Source organism: Homo sapiens, chromosome 13 (genome assembly GCF_000001405.40).
Source record: "Homo sapiens chromosome 13, GRCh38.p14 Primary Assembly".
NCBI lineage: Eukaryota > Metazoa > Chordata > Mammalia > Primates > Hominidae > Homo > Homo sapiens.
The window spans coordinates 20,937,625-20,959,711 of NC_000013.11; the positions used below are offsets into that span (position 1 = coordinate 20,937,625).

The window sequence follows — 22,087 nt, forward strand, 5'->3', positions numbered from 1 at the left end:
TTCAAAGTGTCCTAAATTTTCTTTTTTTTTTTTTTTTTGAGACGGAGTCTCGATCTGTTGCCCAGGCTGGAGTGCAGTGGCGTGATCTCGACTCACTGCAAGCTCCGCCTCCCAGGTTCATGCCATTCTCCTGCCTCAGCCTCTCCGAGTTGCTGGGACTACAGGCGCCCACCACCACACCCGGCTAATTTTTTATATTTTTAGTAGAGATGGGGTTTCACCATGGTCTCGATCTCCTGACCTCGTGATCTGCCCGCCTCCACCTCCCAAAGTGCTGGGATTACAAGCGTGAGCCACCGCACCCAGACTTTTTTTTTTTTTTTTTTTTTAATTATTTATTTATTTTTTTCTTTTTTTATTTTTTTGAGACGGAGTCTCGCTCTGTCACCCAGGCTGGAGTGCAGTGGTGTGATCATAGCTCACTGTAGCCTTGACCTCTCTGGCTCAAGAGATTCTCCTGCCTTGGCTTCCCAAGTAGCTGGGACTACAGAGGCACATCACCACATCTGGCTAATTTTTAAATTTTTTTGTAAAGACAGGGGTCTCACTTTGTTGCCCGGGCTGGTCTCAAACTTCTGGGCTCAAGTGATCATCCACACACCTCGGCCTCCCAAAGTGCTGGGATTACAGGTGTGAGCCACTGTGCCTCACCTCAATTTTGTAGGATTTTTGTAGGATTTTGATTCCAATCTTTTCTCTGCCACTTATCATTTGTGTGCCCTGAGTGAGTTCCCGTCATCTCGGTATGTCTGTTTTTCATCTGTGCAATAGGGGTCACAGTACCTACCTCATGCTGGGTTTGAGATCTCCGTGTGCCACATATTAGCTTGGGACCTTGGGCTGATTAGTTGTCCTCTCTGAGCCTCAGCTCCCAAGCCAGGAGGTGGAGCTAATGTGGCTGCCTCCAGGCATTAGCACGAAGATGGGCAGGGATGGCTCTGAGCACCCAGCACAGAGCAAGACCCCTTCACCCGGTAGACACCTGGCAGACGGGAATTACCACTGCTTATGATACAATGGTATTTCCTAAATTTGAAGATAATGTTGAAAGTAAGCTGCATCATGGATTTAATAATAGTGCTTTGAGTGAGAGAGAGAGAGAAAAAAGAAACCAATGTGGCATTCAGTGCATAAGAATAAAATGAGGTGTTGAATAAAAAGACTTGGGCCGGGCGTGGTGGCTCATGCCTGTAAATCCCAACACTTTGGGAGGCCGAGGTGGGTGGATTACCTGAGGTCAGGGGTTTGAGACCAGCCTGGCCAACATGGTGAAACCCCGTCTCTACTAAAAATATAAAAATTAGCCAAGCATGGTGGCGTGCGCCTGTAGTCCCAGCTACTCAGGAGGCTGAGACAAGAGAATCGTGTGAACCCACAAGGCGGAGGCTGCAGTGAGTCGAGATTGCCCCACTGCACTCACTCCACCCTGGGTGACAGAGTGAGACTCAAAGAAAAAAAAGTCGAATTTTTATACACATCCGTTAGGGACTTTTCACATCATGTGCATTTCCATAAATCTACACATTGTATTTTTGCACAGACTTGTGTTTCTAGGTGTGTCTGGGGCTCCAGGATTCTCTTACAGGAGACGACTGTTCAACTTGTTTTTAAATGAAAACACTAATGTTTCGTTTTATTTTTTTCCCTGCATGAAAAGTAACAATCCACCATAAAGCAAGGGGCATGCCCCCCGACCAAGCCATCCTTGCTCAGGGGTAGAGAGTAACCCTTTGCGGGGAGTGGGTGATAGTGCTAAGATTTGGGTTCTGGTTTTAAGGAGTTATCTAAAGTTTAGTTCTGAAAGAAGACGCAAAGGGGATTTCTCATGGAGGAATGCAAGCCTATGGGACAGAAGGCGATGAGTCAGGAATCGTTGGATTGGGTCACCAAAAGCCTGGGTCCTGATCCAGGATGCTTGTCCCAAAAGGGGCCCCACATACTTGATTAAGAAGGAAAGAGTGAGACCACTGTGAGGGGCAACAGTCAAGGATGGGGGGCAGAAGGGGTCTTTGAATCTGAAGCCCACCAGGGGCTGACTGTCCAGCTTTGATGTGAGCAAGAGCCCCTTTGAGGAGCTGCCCAGGCTAGTTCCTTCCACAGTGGCTCAAAGACAGGAGTGCCTGATCTGCTGCCGACTGGCTGGGAGACTGAGATTTGTTGCAGGCCAACTAGTGCATGTGACCCAGTGTCAGATATATCCCCAAAATATCCCTGGCAAGTGGCGGGATGATCTCCTACCCCTTCGCTTGAGCAGGCCGGAGGCCAGGAGCTGAGACTCCTCATTCTCCATTTCTGTTTACCTTCTCCCCAGCTGGGAACAAAGGACAAGAATTTGGGAGTGACAGGCATGTGGCCACACACTCAAATGCACTTGTTTATACCTGTTTGTTTACTGTTTCAGCAGATTCTTGCTTAGCAATAACTGAGTTTATCTCCTTGTCTTAAGGAAACTCTTAAGAATGTTATTATAATGTAGTAAAATTTAAATGTCTCTTGAATGATGAAGCACTAACTAATGTGCTATATCTAAATGTAGAAATGCACATTTACGAGTATTGTCCTCTCCCGGCATTTTCATCTGAACACTCAGTCTGTTGACAACACTCAAAAACTTCATAAAAGATCACAATCTAGCACTTAAGTTCTACAGATAATGTTGAAATCTTGCACAAGATTTAGGAATCTCAGGCAATGACATGCATAACATTGCTATTAGGAAATGTGTAATATACTCTTCTGTTACTATCAGTGGAAAGTCAAAAAACAAACAAACCATAGTGATAAGAGCTGTGTGAATTAAGGAATTTTAGAGCTGAAAGTGACCTTCGAAATCCTAGAGCCTCACCCATTTTTACCTTCTAATAATCGTGCTGTAAAATATCACACTTACACTGTAGAAAATTTGGAAATATACAGAAGATGTTTAAAATTAGGAAGAAAAGGCTGGGCACCGTGGCTCATGCCTGTAATCCCCGCACTTTCGGAGGCTGAGGTGGGCAGATCACAAGGTCAAGAGATCGAGACCAGCCTGGCCAACATGGTGAAACCCAGTCTCTACTAAAAATACAAAAAATTAGCTGGGCGTGGTGGCGCGCGCCACTGCAATCTGACCTAGCGACAGACTGAGACTCAGTCTCAAAAAAAAAAAAAAATCAGGAAGAAAAAAATCACCCACAATTGTATCACCTACAAGAGGTCACCATTTTTTAAAACTTTGCCGTATTTCCTTTCAGACATGTAAAATTTTTGATATATTTATTTTTTTCTTTTTCTTGCTACAAAAAACTGAGATCGTACAGTTTGTATCCTTCACCCTTTACTTAACATTATATAGTGATAATTTTGCTTTTTATTAAAAACTTTTTGAATATGGAATTTTTATTGATTACATAAAATGTGACAGTATGGCATAGAGTCATAAAATATTTGTAACCGTCATCATAGTATTGAATGTGTAATTGCGTTTAAAGATACTATAGTATAGATGTGCTAAGGGAAATACTTTTGTGCATAACTGTTTGTCCCATTTTTAAATTGTTTCTGTAGAAATTGTTGCCAAATTTTGTTCCAGCCAGGTGCGGTGGCTCGCACCTGTAATCCCAGTACTTTGGGAGGCCGAGGTGGGTGGATCACTTGATGTCAGGAGTTCAAGACCAGCCTGGCCAACATGGTGAAACCCTCTCTCTATTAAAAATACAAAAAATTAGCTGGGCATGGTGGTGCGTACCTGTAATCCCAGCTACTCGGGAGGCTGAGGCAGGAGAATTGCTTGAATCCAGGAGGCAGAGGTTGCAGTGAGCAGAGATCTCACCACTGCACTCTAGCCTAGGCAACAGAGGGAGACTCCATCTCAAAAAACAAAACCAAACAAAAAAACAAAACAAAACAAAATTTTGTTCCAGAAAAGTTATAACAATTTTTATCAACAACATGAGAGTGTCTATTTCAGTGTAACCTTTCTAGAATCAGAGTATTACTTTTTTTTTTTGAGGCAGAGTCTGGCTCTGTCGCCCAGGCTGGAATGCAGTGGGGTAGTCTTGGCTCACCGCAACTTCCGCCTCCTGGGTTCAAGCAATTCTCTGCCTCAGCCTCCTGAGTAGCTGGGATTACAGGCACCTGCCACCACGCCCGGCTAATTTTTTGTATTTTTAGTAGAGACAGGGCTTCACCATCTTGGCCAAGCCGGCCTTGAACTCCTTACCTCAGGATCCACTGGCCTCGGCCTCCCAAAGTACTGGGATTACAGGTGTGAGCCACCATGCCTGGTCGAGTATTACCATTTTTAATAATGGTAATGGGTAATATAAAATAATGTTATTTTAGGAAACAATTCTAAAGCTTCATTTTCAGGAGACTGAGATTTTAGAAGCTACTTCTTTAATTCTTATGACATAGAGTCGGATTAGACACAAAATAAATGTTATGAAAATGCTACTACTGTTCTTTGAAGGCTGTTTATAGTTTGTAGATGCTGAGAATATGGTGAAATGGTAAACTATGCATAGCCTTAACTTACGGAGTGCTAGAGTTTTGGGCTGAGGAGCTGGTCACCATTGGGCATCTGACAACTGATTGTTTGGGCTTCTGGGACTGTTTCTGGAGGGGCCTGGATCTCAGCACACTGTGTCAGGTAGGAGAGGAAAAAAACGTTATCTGTTTGCTCCTAAGCTCATTGGTTGAAGATTCGCCCCACAAGCTTCAATTTCTCTGCACTTACTTTTTTCTCTGACTTATTGTGGGTTTCTCAAGCATAGGGGCCAGGGGTCCTGTGAGGTGGGTGCCATTTGGGATGCCACATGGAGCTGGCAGTGTCCACAGACAGCTGGTTTCTGCAGTGGCAGCAGGGTGGAGTAAGCGTCCAACGGTGTCCAAAGATTTGGAGTGGTACTTAAGAGGTGTTTACACGAGCAACAAGGTAAGTAGAGATAACTGGGCCTTCAATACAGAGGTTGATGGAAACACATCTGCAAGTGTACCTGATTCAAATCATCACACAGTAACCCCTCCAGGGGAATGTCAAATTCTGTACTGTTTTTAATGCTCAGCTGACACATTGCTCTAGTCCAGTGGTTCTAGAACTTTTTGAGCTTAGGATCCCTTTATACTCTTAAAAATTATTGAGAACTTCAGACAAATTCATATATATGAAGTGAGGGGACAGAAAGGAGGTATATCTATATCCATATCTATCTATCTATCAATATTTATCATATTAAAAATTAAAATGGAAAAAAATAAAGAATATTTATAGATGGAAAAGTGGCCATTATAAACCAATTACATGTTAACACAAATAATGTGTTTTATGCAAAATAACTATATTTCCCAAAATAACAGTTAGTGGCATCAGTGGCATTGGTTTACATTTTGCAAACCTCTTGAATAGCGGGTTTAATATCAGATAGTGGAATTCTCTTTTTTTTTTTTTTTGAGACATTGTCTCGCTCTGTTGCCCAGACTGGAGTGCAGTGGTGCAATCTCAGCTCACTGCGACCTCTGCCTCCCGGGTTCATGCGATTCTCGCGCCTCAGGCTTCCGAGTAGCTGGGATTTATAGGCGTGCGCCACCATGCCCAGCTAATTTTTTGTATTTTTCGTCGAGACGGGGTTTCACCATGTTGGCCAGGCTGCTCTTGAACTCCTGACCTCGAGTGATCTGCCCACCTCGGCCTCCCAAAATGCTGAGATTACAGGCGTGAGCCATCGCATCCGGTCGCAGATGGTGGAGTTTTTATTTCTGCTTCCACATTTGACCTGTTACCATATGTTTTGTTTGAAGTAGATGGGGAAGTCCAGCACCCCCCAGGTATACAATTGAAAAGGGGGACTTCGTGTGTCCCTGAAGTCCACAGACCACACTTTGAGAACTGCTGCTCAAGTCTAAGTTGCGAATTTCTCAATTACATGAACAAGACTCTAGCGGAAACCAGTACTGTGTGCGCTCAACAGACTAAATTGTTTGGAAAAGCGTTTCCTAGGAGTTGCTATAAACCAAATGACTCATTTAAACGTTTTTATTACTTTGACAAATACTTCGGCTCTGCAGCCTGTTCCTTTTTTAAACCAACTTGCCTCATTACACAGCTGTGGTCTGCACAGCTTTGGCCACCAGGTGGCTCCCACCCCCAGCCTTTTCTAGAAGGATCCATTCAGGACGCTTCATTCCTTGATGGCGCCCTAGCTGCTCAGGGCACTCAGGGAAACTTTATTTTGTTCAACATAAGAAAAGAGTCAGTTGTGGGAGGCCGACGCAGGCGGATCAACTGAGGTCAGGAGTTTGAGACCAGCCTGGCCAACCTGGCAAAACTCCGTCTCTACTAAAAATACAAAAATTAGCCGGGCATAATGGCGGGCACGTGTAATCCCAGCTACTTGGGAGGCTGAGGCAGGAGAGCTGCTTGAACCTCAAAGGCAGGGGTAGCAGTGAGCCGAGATCATGCCACTGCACTCCAGCCTGGGCGACAGAGGAAGACTCCATCTCAACAACAACAACAAAAAAAAAAAAAAAAAAAAAAAAAGAGGAGAAAAGAGTCAGTTGGGTAAGGGGAGGATTATTTCAAGGAAAAGGGAAGTTAAGAAAGAATAGAACTGGCAGTGCGTGGTGGCTCACGCCTGTAATCCCAGCACTTTGGGAGGCCGAGGCGGGTCTAACACGAGGTCAGGAGTTCGAGACCAGCACAGCCAAGATGGTGAAACCCCCTTCTCCACTAAAAATACAAAAATTAGCCGGGCATGGCAGCAGGTACCTGTAATCCCAGCTGCTCAGGAGGCTGAGGCAGAGAATTGCTTGAACTCGGGAGGCGGAGGTTGCAGTGAGTCGAGATTGCTCCACCGCACTCCAGCCTGGGCGAAAGAGTGAGACTCCGTCTCAAAAAAAAAAAAAGTATATTTAACATAGGAGGTTGGTAAAAAAAATCTAAAAGAGTTGGTCTGAATACTGGAAGAAGTACTATATGGCACCTTTACTCTCTTACCAGCTTAATGTAGCTTTTTCCTTCTCATTGTTTTTAACTGATATGCTTAAATTGGGTATTATTATCTCTACTAAAATGGTTCTCTCTCAAAGCAAGGTGTTATACTAGATACCACGTGGGATAAACAAAGAGGTGGTGGGGAATGCGCCCCTCCACCCTGAGAGACAGGAGGTGTGGGTGTTTTCACTCTAGCACATATTCACTGTGACACTGTGGGGTTACTTCTGTTTCCTAACCTGAGTGATCCACCCCACTTACAAGAGAGGGCTGATAATCCTTAACTGTCCAGAGGTTTGTTTCCAAATCAGATTGTCTCTGGAGTTCCTTGCGAGACTCGAAATACACGATTCTGTGATTCTATTTCAGTCTGGTTGAGTTCTTTAGTTGCAAGCAACAGATAACCAACTTGGTTAATCTTGCCCAGTTTCCTTAATAAGACTCATACGGCCCTTCGCTACCTGGGCCCTGCCTGTGCCTCCAGCCTCAAATCTTCTTCAGGCACTGTGAAGCTCCAGACATATGGCGACATCCCCCACACCATGTGTGCCCCTTCTCCGGCCTCTGCTGCCTAATAGTAGGTTTCAGGTAGGCATCACTTCCGCTGGGCTGCCTTCCATGACCTCCCCAGTCTGGATCGCGTCCTCTCCTGGGTGCTCCAGCAGCAGCTTCCTCCACTTCTCCATCATACCTTTGAGACTATTGTATTATAATTTTCTAAATGCTTTCCCCTCCTGTGAGTCCTGGGCAGAAGGAAGCATGTCCACCTTCTTCACGGGTATCCCCAATACACAGTACAGTGTCTGGCACACAGCAGGTACACAAAATATATTTAATGAAGGAACAGAGGAAGGGAGAGAAGATATCTCTTCTTGGATAGTGCCAGTCATATATTAGGTGTTCATTAAACATTTGTAGAACCGAACTGAGAATGCTGAGCCCTTTAACAGGATCCTCAAAACCTCGTAAAATAAACACAGATAGGCCGGGCGCGGTGGCTCACGCTTGTAATCCCAGTACTTTGGAAGGCTGAGGCGTGTGGATCACAAGGTCAGGAGATCGAGACCATCCTGGCTAACGCAGGTGAAACCTGGTCTCTAGTAAAAATAGAAAAAATTAGCCGGGAGTGGTAGCGGGCGCCTGTAGTCCCAACTACTCGGGAGGCTGAGGCAGGAGAATGGCATGAACCCGGGACGCGGAGCTTGCAGTGAGCCGAGATAGCGCCACTGCACTCCAGCCTGGGCTACAGAGCAAGACTCTTGTCTCAATAAAAATAAAAAACACAGATAATAATAGGATTTTGCCGAATATAGAACCAAGTGGCAGATTTAAAATTTGAACCACAACATCCTGGATTTGACGTCTTTTGTACTACTTTTGTTGAGAAAGGGGAAATGCTCTCTTCACTCAGGCACCCACCACGAGAGCTAGCCTGGAGGATGCGGGCTCAGCACGTGCTAGAGGAACCCCGGGGGGATGGAGAAACGGTGGAGAGACGGGGAGGGCTCCGGAAAACTGCGTTCTCACAAGACCAAAGGGAGGGGAGGGAGGGGGAGATGTGGCTGCAAGTGCAGTTGGAGAGGGTGTGAAGAGATCGGGAGTCCTCTGCGAGGCTCTGGAGCACCCGGCGCCTAAGAGGCTAGTGCGCCCCGTGCCGCTGCGGTAGGACCTGGCGGTCCGCAGCTCCTGAAGGGCCTGGCCGTTCACGGGGCAGGCAGGACGGGCGAAATCCCCCGCAGTTAGCGGTCAACAGAAAGGGCGACACGGAACGGGGTTCCTGGCACCCGAGCTCGCCGCACCGAAGTCTCCTGGTAACAGCGACACGGGACCGGGCTATGTGACCACACACCTGAAGCCCCTGGAGAGCTCTTTGTTTTATTTCAAATTGTGGTAAAAAGGACATAACATTAAATACCATCTTACCCATTTTTAAGTGCACAGTTCAGTGGCATCGAGAGCATTCACATCGCTGTGTGGCCATCACCACTGTCCACCTCTAGAACTCTTCATCGGCCTGTGCAGCAGCTGCCACCTGTTCAACACTAACTCCCGGTTCCCACTCCCGCAGCGCCGTATCACACTTACACTTCTGTGTCTATGAATTCGCCTGCTTTACATATGGCATATGAGTGGAATCACACAGTATTGGTACTTTTGTGACTGGCCTATTTCACTCAGCATAATGGCCTGGAGGTTCATCCATGTTGTAGCATGTAATGGGATTTCCTTCTTTTTTTTTTTTTTTTTTTTGACAGAATCTTGCTCTGTCGCCCAGGCTGGAGTGCAGTGGCGTGATCTCGGTTCACTGCAATCTCCGTCTCCCGGGTTCAAGTGATTCTTTGCCTCAGCCTCCCGAGTAGCTGGGATTACAGGCAAGCTCCACCATGCCCAGCTTCTTTGTGTATTTTCAGTAGAGATGGGGTTATGCCTTGTTGGTCAGGCTGGTCTTGACCTCAGGTGATCCACCCACCCTGGCCTCCCAAAGTGCTGGGATTACAGGTGGGAGCCACCATGCCGGGCAATTTCCTTTTCTTCTTCTTTTTTTTTTTTTTTTGAGACAGAGTCTTGCCCTGTCGCCCAGGCTGGAGTGTGCAATGGCATGATATTGGCTCACTGCAACCTCCATGTCTTGGTTTCAAACCATTCTCCTGCCTCAGCCTCCCAACTCCCAAGTATCTGGGATTACAGGCACCTGCCACCACACCTGGCTAATTTTTGTGTTTTTAGTAGAGATGGGGTTTCACCATGTTGGCCAGGCTGGTCTCGAACTTCTGACCTCGTGATCCACCCATCTCGGCCTCCCAAAGTCCTGGGATTACAGGCATGAGCCACTGCACCTGGCCGATTTCCTTCTTTTTAAAGGCTCTATAATATTCCACTGTATGGATGCACCACATTTTGTGTAATAATTCATTCACTGATGGACACTTGTGCTGCTTCCACCTTTTGGCTGTTGTGAATGATGCTGCTATGAACAGGAATCTGAAGATTTGGGTTCAGAGCATAGAGGTGGCATGTGAGTTTTATGAGGCAAATCTCTCAGCCCTGAGTTTTTCAACTGTAAAATGAGATGTCAATATTTACTATCTTTCAGGTTTGTGGCAAATATAAAACGAGATCATGTGCATAAAAGTATTTGTAAACTGAAAAATCTCACCTCATGTAAAACTGTTATGATTTTTGTGACCAGCCATTACGACCAATGGAACATATGATTTGTGTTGGTTAATTCATGGTAGAAGCAGATGTGGAGAAGTTCTCTGCAATAAAAGCGAATGGCCAGTTATATCAGGTTAATACCTGAAAAGTTGTTTTCTGTATTCTGTAGGCATTTAAGGAAATTTTTTATTTGCACATTAAAAAAAACACATTTATTCAGGGTCACAATCAGACTATTACATTTAGCAATCAATAGCATGCGTGCCAAAAAAAAAAAATCTACATTAAAACCCTTTGTTGGAATGCTTTACACTTTCCACAGAACAGAAACTAAAATAACCTGTTATACAATTAGTCACAAATACAGTCCTCAGGATTTTTGCCCATACACATGAGTATTTGTCTAAAACATGTCTTCTTTGTAGCAGCTAGACCCTGCCACCGCTGTGCTTGGCTGAGTTCACAAATCTGTTGTAACCTGTAGCTTCCCTGACACTTCTCTTGCTCTCCTCTCCTGCTAAGCTTTGTTTCCTAATTAAAATATTCTGCCACAGCCATAGCTAACTGCTGCTACTGGAACCGCCATAGCCACCTGAAGAGTACAATTTTTCTTGGTTTCATGGTTTGGCAAAGTATTGGCCTCCATCACCATAGGGGCCAGAGCTTCTGCCTCCAAAGTTTCCTCCCTTCATGGGTCCAAAATTTGAAGACTGATTGTTGTAATTGCCAAAATCATTGTAGCTTCCACCACCTCCAAAATTGCTTCCATCATTACCAAATCCATTATAGCCATCCCCACTGCCACCATATCCACCACCACCATGGCTGCCACCAAAGCCACCACAACCACTGAAGTTTCCTCCACAACCAAAGTTGTCATTCCCATGACACCACCATGATCACCACCAAAGTTTCCAGAACCACTTCGACCTTTTTGGCTGGATGAAGCACTCGCCATCTTTTGCTTTGACAAGGCTTCCTAACTTCACAGTTGTGGACATTCACGTTATGGTATTTCTGAATGACAATCTTATCCACGGAGTCATAGTCATCAAAGGTTATAAAAGCAAAGCCCCTTTTCTTGCCACTGCCTCGGTCAGTCGTGATTTCGATCACTTCCATTTTCCCATACTGTTCCAAATAACCAATAATCTCTGAGGGGATGTTCCTCAGTGTCTTCTTTAATGCCACCAACAAATATCTTTTTCTTTTCTTTCTTTTTTCTTTTGTTTTTTGAGACAGCATCTTACTCTGTCTTCCAGGCTGGAGTGCAGTGGTGTGATCTCGGCTCACTGCAAGCTCTGCTTCCCGGGTTCACACCACTCTGCTGCCTCAGCCTCCCAAGTAGCTGGGACTACAGGCGCCCGACACCACACCCAGCTAATTTTTTGTATTTTTTTTAGTAGAGACAGGGTTTCACTGTGTTGGCCAGAATGGTCTTGATCTCCTGACCTCGTGATCCACCCGCCTCAGCCTCACAAAGTGCTGGGATTACAGGCATGAGCCACTGCGCCTGGCGAACAAATATCTTTTTCACAGTTAAGTGGGCACCTGGTCTTTGAGAATCTTCTCTTGAGACAGCTCTCTTTGGTTCCACAACTCTTCCATCCACCTTGTGTGGCCTTGCATTCGTGGCTGCGTCCACCTCCTCCACAGTGGCATAGATGACAAACCCAAAGCCCCTGGCGTGCTTGGTGTTTGGATCTCTCATTACCTCACAGTCCAGGAGCGTTCCTCATTGCTCAGAATGGCTCCTCAGGCTCTCATCGGTTGTTTCAAAGCTCAACCCTCCAAAGAGGAGCTTCCTCAGCTGTTCAGGCTCTTTAGGAGACTCTGACTTAGACATGAAGGCAGGGAGAAAAGAGGCTTTCATGATGCTTCTTTGGTGGTATCCACGGGCAGAAAGATAAAATTTTTTTGGTGGGGGGCAGAGTTTCGCTCTTATTTCCTAGTCTGGAGTGCAATGGCGTGATCTCGGCTCACTGCAACCTCCGCCTCCTGGGTTCAAGCAATTCTCCTGCCTCAGCCTCCCAAGTAGCTGGAATTACAGGCGCGTGCCACCATACCTGGCTATTTTTTTTGTTGTTGTTTGTATTTTTAGTAGAGATGGAGTTTCACCATGTTGGTCAGGCTGGTTTCCAACTCCTGACCTCGTCGTCTGCCTGCCTCAGTCTCCCAAAGTGCTGGGATTACAGGCGTGAGCCATCGCACCCGGCCAGAATCTTTTCTATTGTGGTAAAAAAAAAAAAAAAAAAACCATAAAATTTACCATCTTAACCTTGTTTGTTTGTTTGTTTGGTTTGTTTGTTTGTTTGGTTTGGTTTGGTTTGAGATGGAGTCTCGCTCTGTTGCCCAGGCTGGAGTGCAGTGGCGCGATCTCGGCTCACTGCAAACTCCGCCTCCCAGGTTCACACCATTCTCCTGCCTCAGCCTCCCGAGTAGCTGGGACTACAGGCGCCCGCCACCACACCCGGCTAATTTTTTGTATTTTTTAGTAGAGCGGGATTTCACCGTGTTAGCCAGGATGGTCTCAATCTCCTGACCTCCTGATCCGCCCACCTCGGCCTCCCAAAGTGCTGGGATTACAGGTGTGAGCCACTGTGCCCAGCCTATTTTTTATATTTTTAGTAGAGATGTGGTTTCACCGTGTCAGCCAGGATGGTCTTGATCTCCTGACCTCATGATCCACCCACCTCGGCCTCCCAAAGTGCTGGGATTACAGGCGTGAGCCACTGCGCCTGGCCCATCTTAACCATTTTTAAGTGCACAGTTCAGTAGGGTTAGGTATATTTACATTGTTGTGCAACCAATCTCCAGAACTTTTTCATCTTGCAAAACTGAAACCGAACCCGTTAAACAACTCCTCTTCCCCGCCCTTTCCCCAGCCCCTGGTAACCAGTCTTATTGGTTAGTTTGCTTTGAATGAAGACTGTCTACTTTCTGTCTCTACATTTTGTCTTTTTGATTTTGACTAACTTAAGAACCTCATATAAGTGGAATCATGTAGTATTTGTGTTTTTGTGAGTGGCTTGTTTCACTTAGCATAATGTCCTTCAGTTTCGTCTATGTGTAGCATGAGACAGGATTTCTTTTTTTAAGTATTCCATTGCATGTATATACCATATTTTGTTTGTCCATTTGTCTGTCAATGGAAATTTGGGTTGTTTTCGCTTCTTGGCTGTTATGAATAGTGCTGCTATAAACATGGGTATGCAAATGTCTCTTCAAGAGTATCATGGAATCTTATAACAAAAAACCTTGAGAGCTGGAATAGCTTTAGAGTCACAGTGATTTGGTCCTACTCTGTCCTTTTACAGAGGAGCACACTGAGGTGGGACCAGTTATGTGACTTACCCATGGTAAAATGATTTGGTGGTAATAGTCACTAACACTTTTTAAAATTTTTTTTTTTGAGACAGAGTCTCGCACTGTCACCTGGGCTGGAGTGCAGTGGCGTGATCTCAGCCCACTGCAACCTCTGCCTCCCAGGTTCAAGTGATTCTCCCTGCCTCAGCCTCCCAAGTAGCTGGGATTACAGGTGCCTGCCACCAAGCCTGGCTAATTTTTTTTGTATTTTTAGTAGAGATGGGGTTTCACCATGTTGGCCAGGCTGGTCTTGAACTCCTGACCTCATGATCCGCCCGCCTCGGCCTCCTAAAGTGCTGGGATTACAGGCGTGAGCCACCATGCCCGGTCATCACTAACAGTTTAAAAGGATACAGTGAGCCAGACACTTGGCTGAGTGCATGACCTGTAGTGTGTCAGTTAGCCCTTACCTATAAAACCTATGAAATAGATACTATTATCATCTCCATTGTATAGATAACAAAACTGAAGTGCAAAGAGATTAAGATTATATATATATATATATATATATATAACATATAATATATATATATACACACACATATATATATTCGAGATAAGGTCTTGCTCTGTCACCCGGGCTGGAGTGCAGTGGCGTGATCTCGGTTCACTGCAATCTGCGTCTCCCAGGTTCAAGTGATTCTCTGCCTCAGCTGCCCGAGTAGCTGGGATTACAGGCAAGTACCAACATGCCCAGCTAATTTTTGTATTTTTAGTAGAGATGGGGTTTCATCATGCTGGCCAGGCTGTTCTCGAACTCCTGACCTTGTGATCCACACACCTTGGCCTCCCAAAGTGCTGGGATTATAGGAGTGAGCCATCGCGCCCAGCCAACACTATATTTAATAAGGGCTGGGACCTCCTCTCTGACTCTAGGGTGGAGGAGCAATTAACAATGATTAATTTTCATTCATTTATTCAGATAACATTTCTCAAGTGCCTCCCACTGCCACACTGTACTAGATCCTGGACATACATAAACAGAACTGCATGTTTGCCCCCAAAGAGCTGGCAGTGTAGGAGGAGCAACTGGCTTGTCCTCAATTTCAATGCAATGTGATTAGTGCTGTACTAGTGTTTTGCAGGTGCTGCCACTGAGCATGCGGGGGGGGACTTCTGAGGGATGGATGGATGGGGAGGCTTCGTCTCCAAAACAGCCCTTGAGCTGCATGTCTAAGCGCATGCAGACGTTTTCAAGGTGAAAAAGTGGAGGGAACAGTATTTGAGGTGAAGGAAACGTATGCAAAACGTATGCAGAGGAATGGGAGTCTGAAGGATTGCTGAATTATTTTGATGGACGAGAGCACAGGTGTGTGGGAGAGGGCAGGGGATGGAAGGGAGGGAAGCTGACTCCCTGTGGTGGAGCGTCTAAGATGTCTCAAGCACTTGGCCTATATTGTTCATTGAATTCTCACAATGCTTCTGTTGTATTCTCTCTCTCTCTCTCTCTCTCTCTCTCTTTCTCTCTCTCTCAGAGACAGGGTCTTGCTCTGTCACCTGGCGAGAATGCTGTGGCACGATCTTAGCTTACTGCAGCCTTGAAATTCTGGGCTCAAGCAATGCTCCTGCTTCAGCCCCCTGGTAGCTGGGATCACAGGTGTGTGTCACCAGCCCAGCTAATTTTGTAATTTTTAGTATAGACAGTTGTGAGGCGGGGCTTGGGGAGGTGGTCTCGCCCAGGCTGGTCTCGAACTCCTGGGCTATGGCAACAATCCTCCTGTCTTGGCCTCCCAAAGCACTGAGATTACAGGTGTCAGTCACCGAGCCTCGCCTGCTGTCTTCATTTCATATTAGGAACACCGAGCCTCTGGTTAAGAAAAACTCCCAAGGTCACACACCTTCAGGCTTCAGATGCCACCGAGGTGAGGCACTTGGAGCAGGATCGCGGGGCACCAACGCGGGGCCGAGGAGTTGCTCCCTGACCTCTTAGGCGCTGGAACCCCACGGAAGTCATCTATCGGGACTGATTTGCCCAAGTTGGAGCTGTTTCCTGAAGGAATGCAAAAGGAGTTCAGCTTGGGGCAACAGTCCCAAGAAGGGACGCAGCTGGGCCTGCAGTGGAGGAGGCAGCTGTGGGCCCCGGAGCAAGTGCCCCCCGGCCCAGCACCCCCACACCGTGGAGACCCCATGCTCCTTCCTGGGGTTTCTCCTGTCGTGTCTTCTTGCAGGAGGTGAAAATAAGAGGCACCAAACAAGGACACATAGTGGTTTGCAAGCCTGCCTGAGTCCCCTGTTCCCAGTGTCCCAAGGACACCAGGGGTGTGGCAGAGCTTGTGTCTGCTCCCCGGCTCCGCCTCGGTGTCCCTCCAATTCCTGTCCTTGCTGAGCTGTGACGGGAGCCAAAGGATATGTGTTCTTTTTGTTTGTTTGTTTGTTTTTTCTCAGCAGGAAGCTGACGGCTGCATCACATGATGGTAGTTGATTTTTTACCTGGTATTTGGGTAGATTAAGGAAAAAAAAGTTTGTGTCCAACTAATTATTGACTTTGTGTGTCCTTCCCAAAGCAAGGTGGTGTTTACTTTGAAAAGACACTCCATGCGACTATGAGATAAGATTTAAGATCAAAGGGTTCCCAGGGAGAAAAGAAATGGCCTCAGCCTACAGGCTAAACTGCCTTTAAAATTCAGAGCCTGCCAAACAAACAGCAGCAATGAGTTTCTCTGGGCAATATGCAAGATCCCAGGAAGACAGGACCAGAAGGCTGACGTCGGCCCGCGTCCCATGGCTCCCGGTGCGTGCCGCCAGTGCAGGGCGAGGCCCTCCTTTCATCTGCAGGAACCCACCTCCAGGTCCAGAGAGCCTCGTTCTGGCTCCACAGGCGCGAGGGGGAAACACGGTAGTGGCATTTGCTCTCAGCCTCTTTGTTTTTTGGTTGTGTGTGTGTGTTTTGTTTTTGTTTTGAGATGGAGACCTTGCTCTGTCGCCCAGGCTGGAGTGCAGTGGCGCGATCTTGGCTCACTGCAACCTCCACCTCCCAGGTTCAAGCAATTCTCCTGCCTCAGCCTCCCGAGTAGCTGGGATTACAGGCGCCCACCACCACACCTGGCTAATTTTTGTATTTTTTTTTCAGTAGAGACGGGGTTTTGCCATGTTGGTCAGGCTGGTCTCAAACTCCTGACCTCAAGTGATCCACCTGTCTTTGCTTCCCAAAGTGCTAGGATTACAGGCATGATCCACTACACCTGGCCATCTTTGGACACCTGTTTACTGAGGGTTATTATTATGTATAACATAGCATTGGGCGCTGAGTGATGGGAAGAGTGAGAAGAAAACAAATGTCTGGAACACACAGGCCTGGCTCGAAGAGCATGGAGAGGAACACAGAATTCAGCAGAAACTATGGGTGCCTACCATGCGCTCGGCACTGGGGAGTTGATGAGAAGTAAGACACGTCAGTTAACAAAGATCACAAAACACAACCATTTGTTAGACATGAGTCTTAGATCTAATATAAAAGCAAAAGCCAAAAATCTTCTAGAAGAAAACACAAGAGAATTTCTTCATCATCTTAGGGTAGGAAAAGATTTCTTAACAAGAACACAAAAACATTCACTGTAAAAGAGAAAAATGGGCCAGGTGTGGTGGCTCACGCCTGTAATCCCAGCACTTTGGGAGGCCAAGGCGGGCAGATCACAGGTCAGGAGATCGAGAGCATCCTGGCTAACATGGTGAAACCCCGTCTCTACTAAAATACAAAAAATTAGCCGGGTTTGGTGGCGTGCACTTATAGTCCCAGCTACTTAGGAGGCTGAGGCAGGGGAATCGCTTGAACCTGGGGGGCAGAGGTTGCAGTGAGCTGAGATCGCGCCACTGCACTCCAGCCTGGCAACAGAGCAAGACTCCGTCTCAAAAAAAATAAAAAATAAAAAATAAAAAAGAGAAAAATAATAAATTGAGTTTCCTCAAAATCAAAGCCTTCTGCTCTTTAAAAGATATCATTAAGCAAATTCAATAAAATAGTCTCAAAACATGCATCTAACGAAGAACCTGTATTCAACTTGCATGCTGGTAATGCAACATGTTGAGTTTTCCATCTTAGGCATGATCTCATTACAGTGTCTCCCACTATACGAGGAAAGAATTTAACTTTTTTTTTTTAGACAGGGAATCACTCTGTCACCTAGGCTGGAGTGCAGTTATGTAGTTATGTGATCACGGCTCACTGCAGCCTTGACCTCCCCAGCTCAAGCAGTCCTCCCACCTTAGCCTCCCTAGTAGCTGAAACCACAGGCACATCATGCAACCACACCCATGTAATTTTTTTTTTTTTTTTTTTTTTTGTGTAGAGACAAGAGTCTCACTATGTTCCCTAGGCTCGTCTTGAATTCCTGGGCTCAAATCATCCTGCCGCTTCAGCCTCCCAAATTGTTGGGATTACAGGTATGAGCCACCACGCCTGGCCAACTTTAACTTTTAAACCCTCTGCCCCCAGTACTCGAGCTTGCTGTTCCCATCCTTCTGTCTTCCTAATATAGTGCTGTCATAATTTTGGTGAAATCACCAAATGCTTTTGGTGAAGCGTTCTCTCCTACAGCCTGCATCACACCGTATGTGAATGGCTCGCCACCTCCCAGAGGTGCAAAGCTGTTATTCTGAATTGCCCCCACAGCACCATCGGGATGCTTTCCTCTTCTCTTGGATACCATTTCTTTCTTGGACCTCATGTCTTCCTCCAGCTTGGTTTGTTTGTTGATTGTTATTTAGCTTTTCTTTCTTTTTTTTTTTTCTTTTTTTGAGACAGAGTTTTACTCTTGTTGCCCAGACTGGAGTGCAATGGTGTGATCTCAGCTCACCGCAACCTCCGCCTCCCAGGTTCAAGTGATTCTCCTGCCTCAGCCTCCCAAGTAACTGGGATGACAGGCATGCACCACCACGCCCGGCTAATTTTGTATTTTTAGTAGAGACTGGGTTTCTCCACGTTAGTCAGGCTGGTCTTGAACTCCCCACCTCAGGTGATCCATCCACCTCAGGTGATCCGGGAGGTGGAGGTCGCAGTGAGCCCAGATCATGCCACTCCAGCCTGGGTGAAAGAGCGAAACTCTGTCTCAAAAAAAAAAAAAAAATCCCTGTAGATGGACTTGTCAGCAGTGTCATGATGGTGTGTGAAGTCATAAATCCTGGCACATAAACCCTGGAATGATTCTGTGAAAGCAGGAATTCTTATAGCCAAATCCTTTCTCTCGAGTGCTCAGAGCACGAAAGTTTTCTCCTTATATCATTGGAACTGCTGTCTTTGGAACTTTGTCTGCAAACGGCTCGAAGGAAATGAGGCCCAAGGGCTTGACAGCAATGCCTGGGAATATAGTGGGGTTGGCCAGGTGCAGTGTCTCACGCCTCTAATCCCAGTATTTTGGGAGGCCAAGGTGGGAGGATCACTTGAGCCTAGGAGTTCAAGACCAGCCTGGGCAACATAGTGAGACCCTGTCTTAAAAAAAAAAAAAAAAAAAAAAAGAACACAGTGGGGTTGACCATGACTGCTGACAGGGGGCTCTGGGTGGTGCTGGCATCTGCAAAAGCCTCTTGGTTTAATCTCTTAGTTTGGTGGAGTACATCTTCCAATAGCTTCCTGAAAATGTTTTGAATTTTGGAATGTCTGAAAATGTCTTTATTTTACCTTCACGCTTAATTAATAACTTGTCTGGGTATAGAATTTTGAGTCAAAAACAATTAACTTTACACATCTTTAAGGCCTTGCTTTATTGTTCTGTAGTGTTAAATATAAAGCCATTCTGATTCTTGAACCTGGGAGGCTGGAGGTTGCAGTGAGCCCAGATCATACCACTGCACTCCAGCCTGGGTGAAAAAGTGAGACTCTGTCTCAAAAAAAAAAAAACAAAAAAACAAAAAAAACCCAGCGAGAACACAATATACCCCAAGAATGGTAGATAATATTTGCAAACCATATTTCTGATAAGGTATTTATATCCAGAATATATACAAAAACTTTTACAACTCAATAGCAAAAAACAAATAATCCAATTTTTTAAATGGGCAAAGGATTTGAAGAGACATTTTTTTAGAAGATACAAAAATGGCCAATAAGCACATGAAAATAGGCTCAACATCATTAGTCTTTTAGGGAAATGCAAACCAAAACCACAATGAAATATCATTACACAACCATTAGGGCGTCTATAATAAAAAAGACAGATAAGAACAAGTGTGATGGCCAGGAGCGGTGGCTCATGCCTGTAATCCCAGCACTTTGGAAGGCCGAGGCGGGTGAATCACTTCAGGTCAGGAGTTTGAGACCAGCCTGGCCAACATGGTGAAACCCCGCCTCTACTAAAAATATAAAAATTATGGCCGGGCACTGTGGCTCATGCCTGTAATCCTAGCATTTTGGGAGGCCAAAGCAGGTGGATCACTTGAGGTCAGGAGTTTGAGACCAGCCTGGCCAACATGGTGAAACCCTGTCTCTACTAAAAGTACAAAAATTAGCTGGGCGTCGTGGCGCATGCCTGTAATCCCAGCTACGAGGGGGGCTGAGCCAGGAGAATCACTTGAATTCAGGAGACGGAGGCTGCAGTGAGCTGAGATCCCACCATTGCACTCCAGCCTGGAGGACAGGAGCAAAACTCTATCTCAAAAAAAAAAAAAAAAAAAAAAGAGAACGAGTGTGGTGAGGATGTGGAGAAATTGAAGCCCTCATACACTGCTGGTAGGAATGTAAAATGGTGTAGTTGCTTTGGAAAACAGTCTGGCAGTTCCTCAAAAGCTTAAATATAGAGTTACCATTTGACCCAGCAATTTCACTACTAGGCATATACCGAAGAGAAATGAAAACATATGTCCATACAAAACCTTGGACATGAATTCTCAAGCAATATTACTCATATATAACATATAAATAATATAGCCAAAAAATAATATAATAGCCAATAAGTGAAAACAACTCAAATGTCCATCAACTGATGAATGGACAAATAAAACGTGTCATACCCATACAAGGGAATATTATTTGGCCATGAAAGGAATGAAGTGTGAGCACATGCTGCAACAAGGATGAGCCTTGGAAACATTGTGCTAAGTGAAATAAGCCAGGCCTCTCAGAGGCTGGGCACGGTGGCTCAGGCCCGTAATCCCAGCACTTTGGGAGGCTGAGGCGGGCAGATCATTTGAGGTCAGGAGTTCAAGATCAGCCTGGCCAACTTGGTGAAACCCCACATCTACTAAAAATACAAAAATTAGCTGGGTGTGGTGGGGGGCGCCTGTAATCCCAGCTACTCAGGAGGCTGAGGCACAAGAATCGCTTGAACCCAGGAGGCGGAGGCTGCAGTAAGTCAGGACCAAGCCACTGGACTCCAGCCTGGGCAAGACAGCAAGACTCCATCTCAAAAAAAAAAAAAAAAAAGCCAGGCATAAAAGGCCACATAGAATATGGTTCTATTTATATGAGACAGAAAATTGACTAGTTGGTTGCCTAAGGTGGACAATAGGGGTGGGGATAAGAAATGAACAGTGATTTTTTTTTTTTTTTTTTGAGATGGAGTCTTGCTCTGTTGCCCAGGCTGGAGTGCAGTAGCATGATCTCGGCTCATTGCAAGCTCTGCCTGCCAGATTCAAGTGATTCTCCTGCCTCAGCCTCCTGTGTAGCTGGGATTACAGGTGCCTGCCACCACGCCCGGCTAATTTTTTGTATTTTTAGTAGAGACGAGGTTTCACAGTATTAGCCAGATGGTCTTGATCTCCTGACCTTGTGATCCACTCGCCTCGGCCTCCCAAAGTGCTGAGATTACAGGCATGAGCCACCGTGCCAGGACAATGAGGAGTGATTGTTAAAGAAAAACAGGATTTCGGGCCAGGAGTGGTGGCTCACGCCTGTAATCCCAGCACTTTGGGAGGCCAAGGTGGGCGGATCATGAGGTCGGGAGATCGAGACCATCCTGGCTAACACAATGAAACTCTATCTCTACTAAAAATACAAAAAAAGTAGCCGGGCGTGGTGGCGGGCGCCTGTAGTCCCAGCTACTCGGGAGGCTGAGGCAGGAGAATGGCGTGAGCCCAGGAGATGGAGGTTGCAGTGAGCAGAGATCACGCCACTCCAGGCTGGGCGACAGAGAGAGATTCCATCTCAAAAAATAACAACAATAATAATAATAAATAACTAAAAATAAAAAAGAAAAAAGAAAAACAGAATTTCTTTCAGGGTGATAAAAATGTTCTAAAATTGTTCTAGATTGTGCAACTCTATATTTACTAAAAATTGTTGAATTGTATTACTTTAAATGGATGAATTTTATGATATGTGAATTAATATCAATAAAACTATTATTTAAATAAAAATAAGCCGGGTGCGGTGGCTCACGCCTGTAATCTCAGCACTTTGGGAGGCTGAGGCAGGCGGATCACTTGACATCACGAGTTAGAGACCAGCCTGCCCAACATGGTAAAACCCTATCTCAACTAAAATACAAAAAATTAGCTGGGCGTGGTGATGGGTGCCTGTAATCCCAGCTATTCAGGAGGCTGAGGCAGAAGAATCACTTGAACCTGGGAGGCGGAGGTTGCAGTGAGCCGAGATCACACCATTGCACTCCAGCCTGGGCAACAAGAGTGAAACTCCGTCTCAAAAAAAAGAAAAAAAAAATT

At 45.8% G+C, this 22,087-nt stretch overlaps 1 long non-coding RNA gene and 2 pseudogenes across 1 annotated transcript, besides 2 other annotated features; all 3 read right to left on the reverse strand.

The window, feature by feature from the left end:
- Nucleotides 1-939: 939 nt before the first annotated feature.
- On the reverse strand, nt 940-11,804 carry LINC00367 (long intergenic non-protein coding RNA 367). Its single transcript, NR_104058.1, has 6 exons — nt 11,681-11,804; nt 10,128-10,230; nt 4,718-4,976; nt 4,517-4,621; nt 2,239-2,311; nt 940-1,026 (listed from the first exon to the last, which is right to left on the reverse strand). It is a non-coding gene; the product is annotated as a long intergenic non-protein coding RNA 367 (long non-coding RNA).
- Nucleotides 1,976-2,475: an enhancer, noted in NCBI's record as "H3K27ac hESC enhancer chr13:21513739-21514238 (GRCh37/hg19 assembly coordinates)". NCBI's record gives its function as "activates a minimal SCP1, AML or CMV promoter by ChIP-STARR-seq in naive H9 embryonic stem cells {active_cell/tissue: H9 hESC(naive)}" and the evidence as "EXISTENCE:reporter gene assay evidence [ECO:0000049][PMID:30033119]".
- Nucleotides 5,870-6,446: an enhancer, noted in NCBI's record as "OCT4-NANOG hESC enhancer chr13:21517633-21518209 (GRCh37/hg19 assembly coordinates)". NCBI's record gives its function as "activates a minimal SCP1, AML or CMV promoter by ChIP-STARR-seq in primed H9 embryonic stem cells {active_cell/tissue: H9 hESC(primed)}" and the evidence as "EXISTENCE:reporter gene assay evidence [ECO:0000049][PMID:30033119]".
- HNRNPA1P30 (heterogeneous nuclear ribonucleoprotein A1 pseudogene 30) lies at nt 10,322-12,035 on the reverse strand (annotated as a pseudogene).
- PPIAP27 (peptidylprolyl isomerase A pseudogene 27) lies at nt 18,552-18,813 on the reverse strand (annotated as a pseudogene).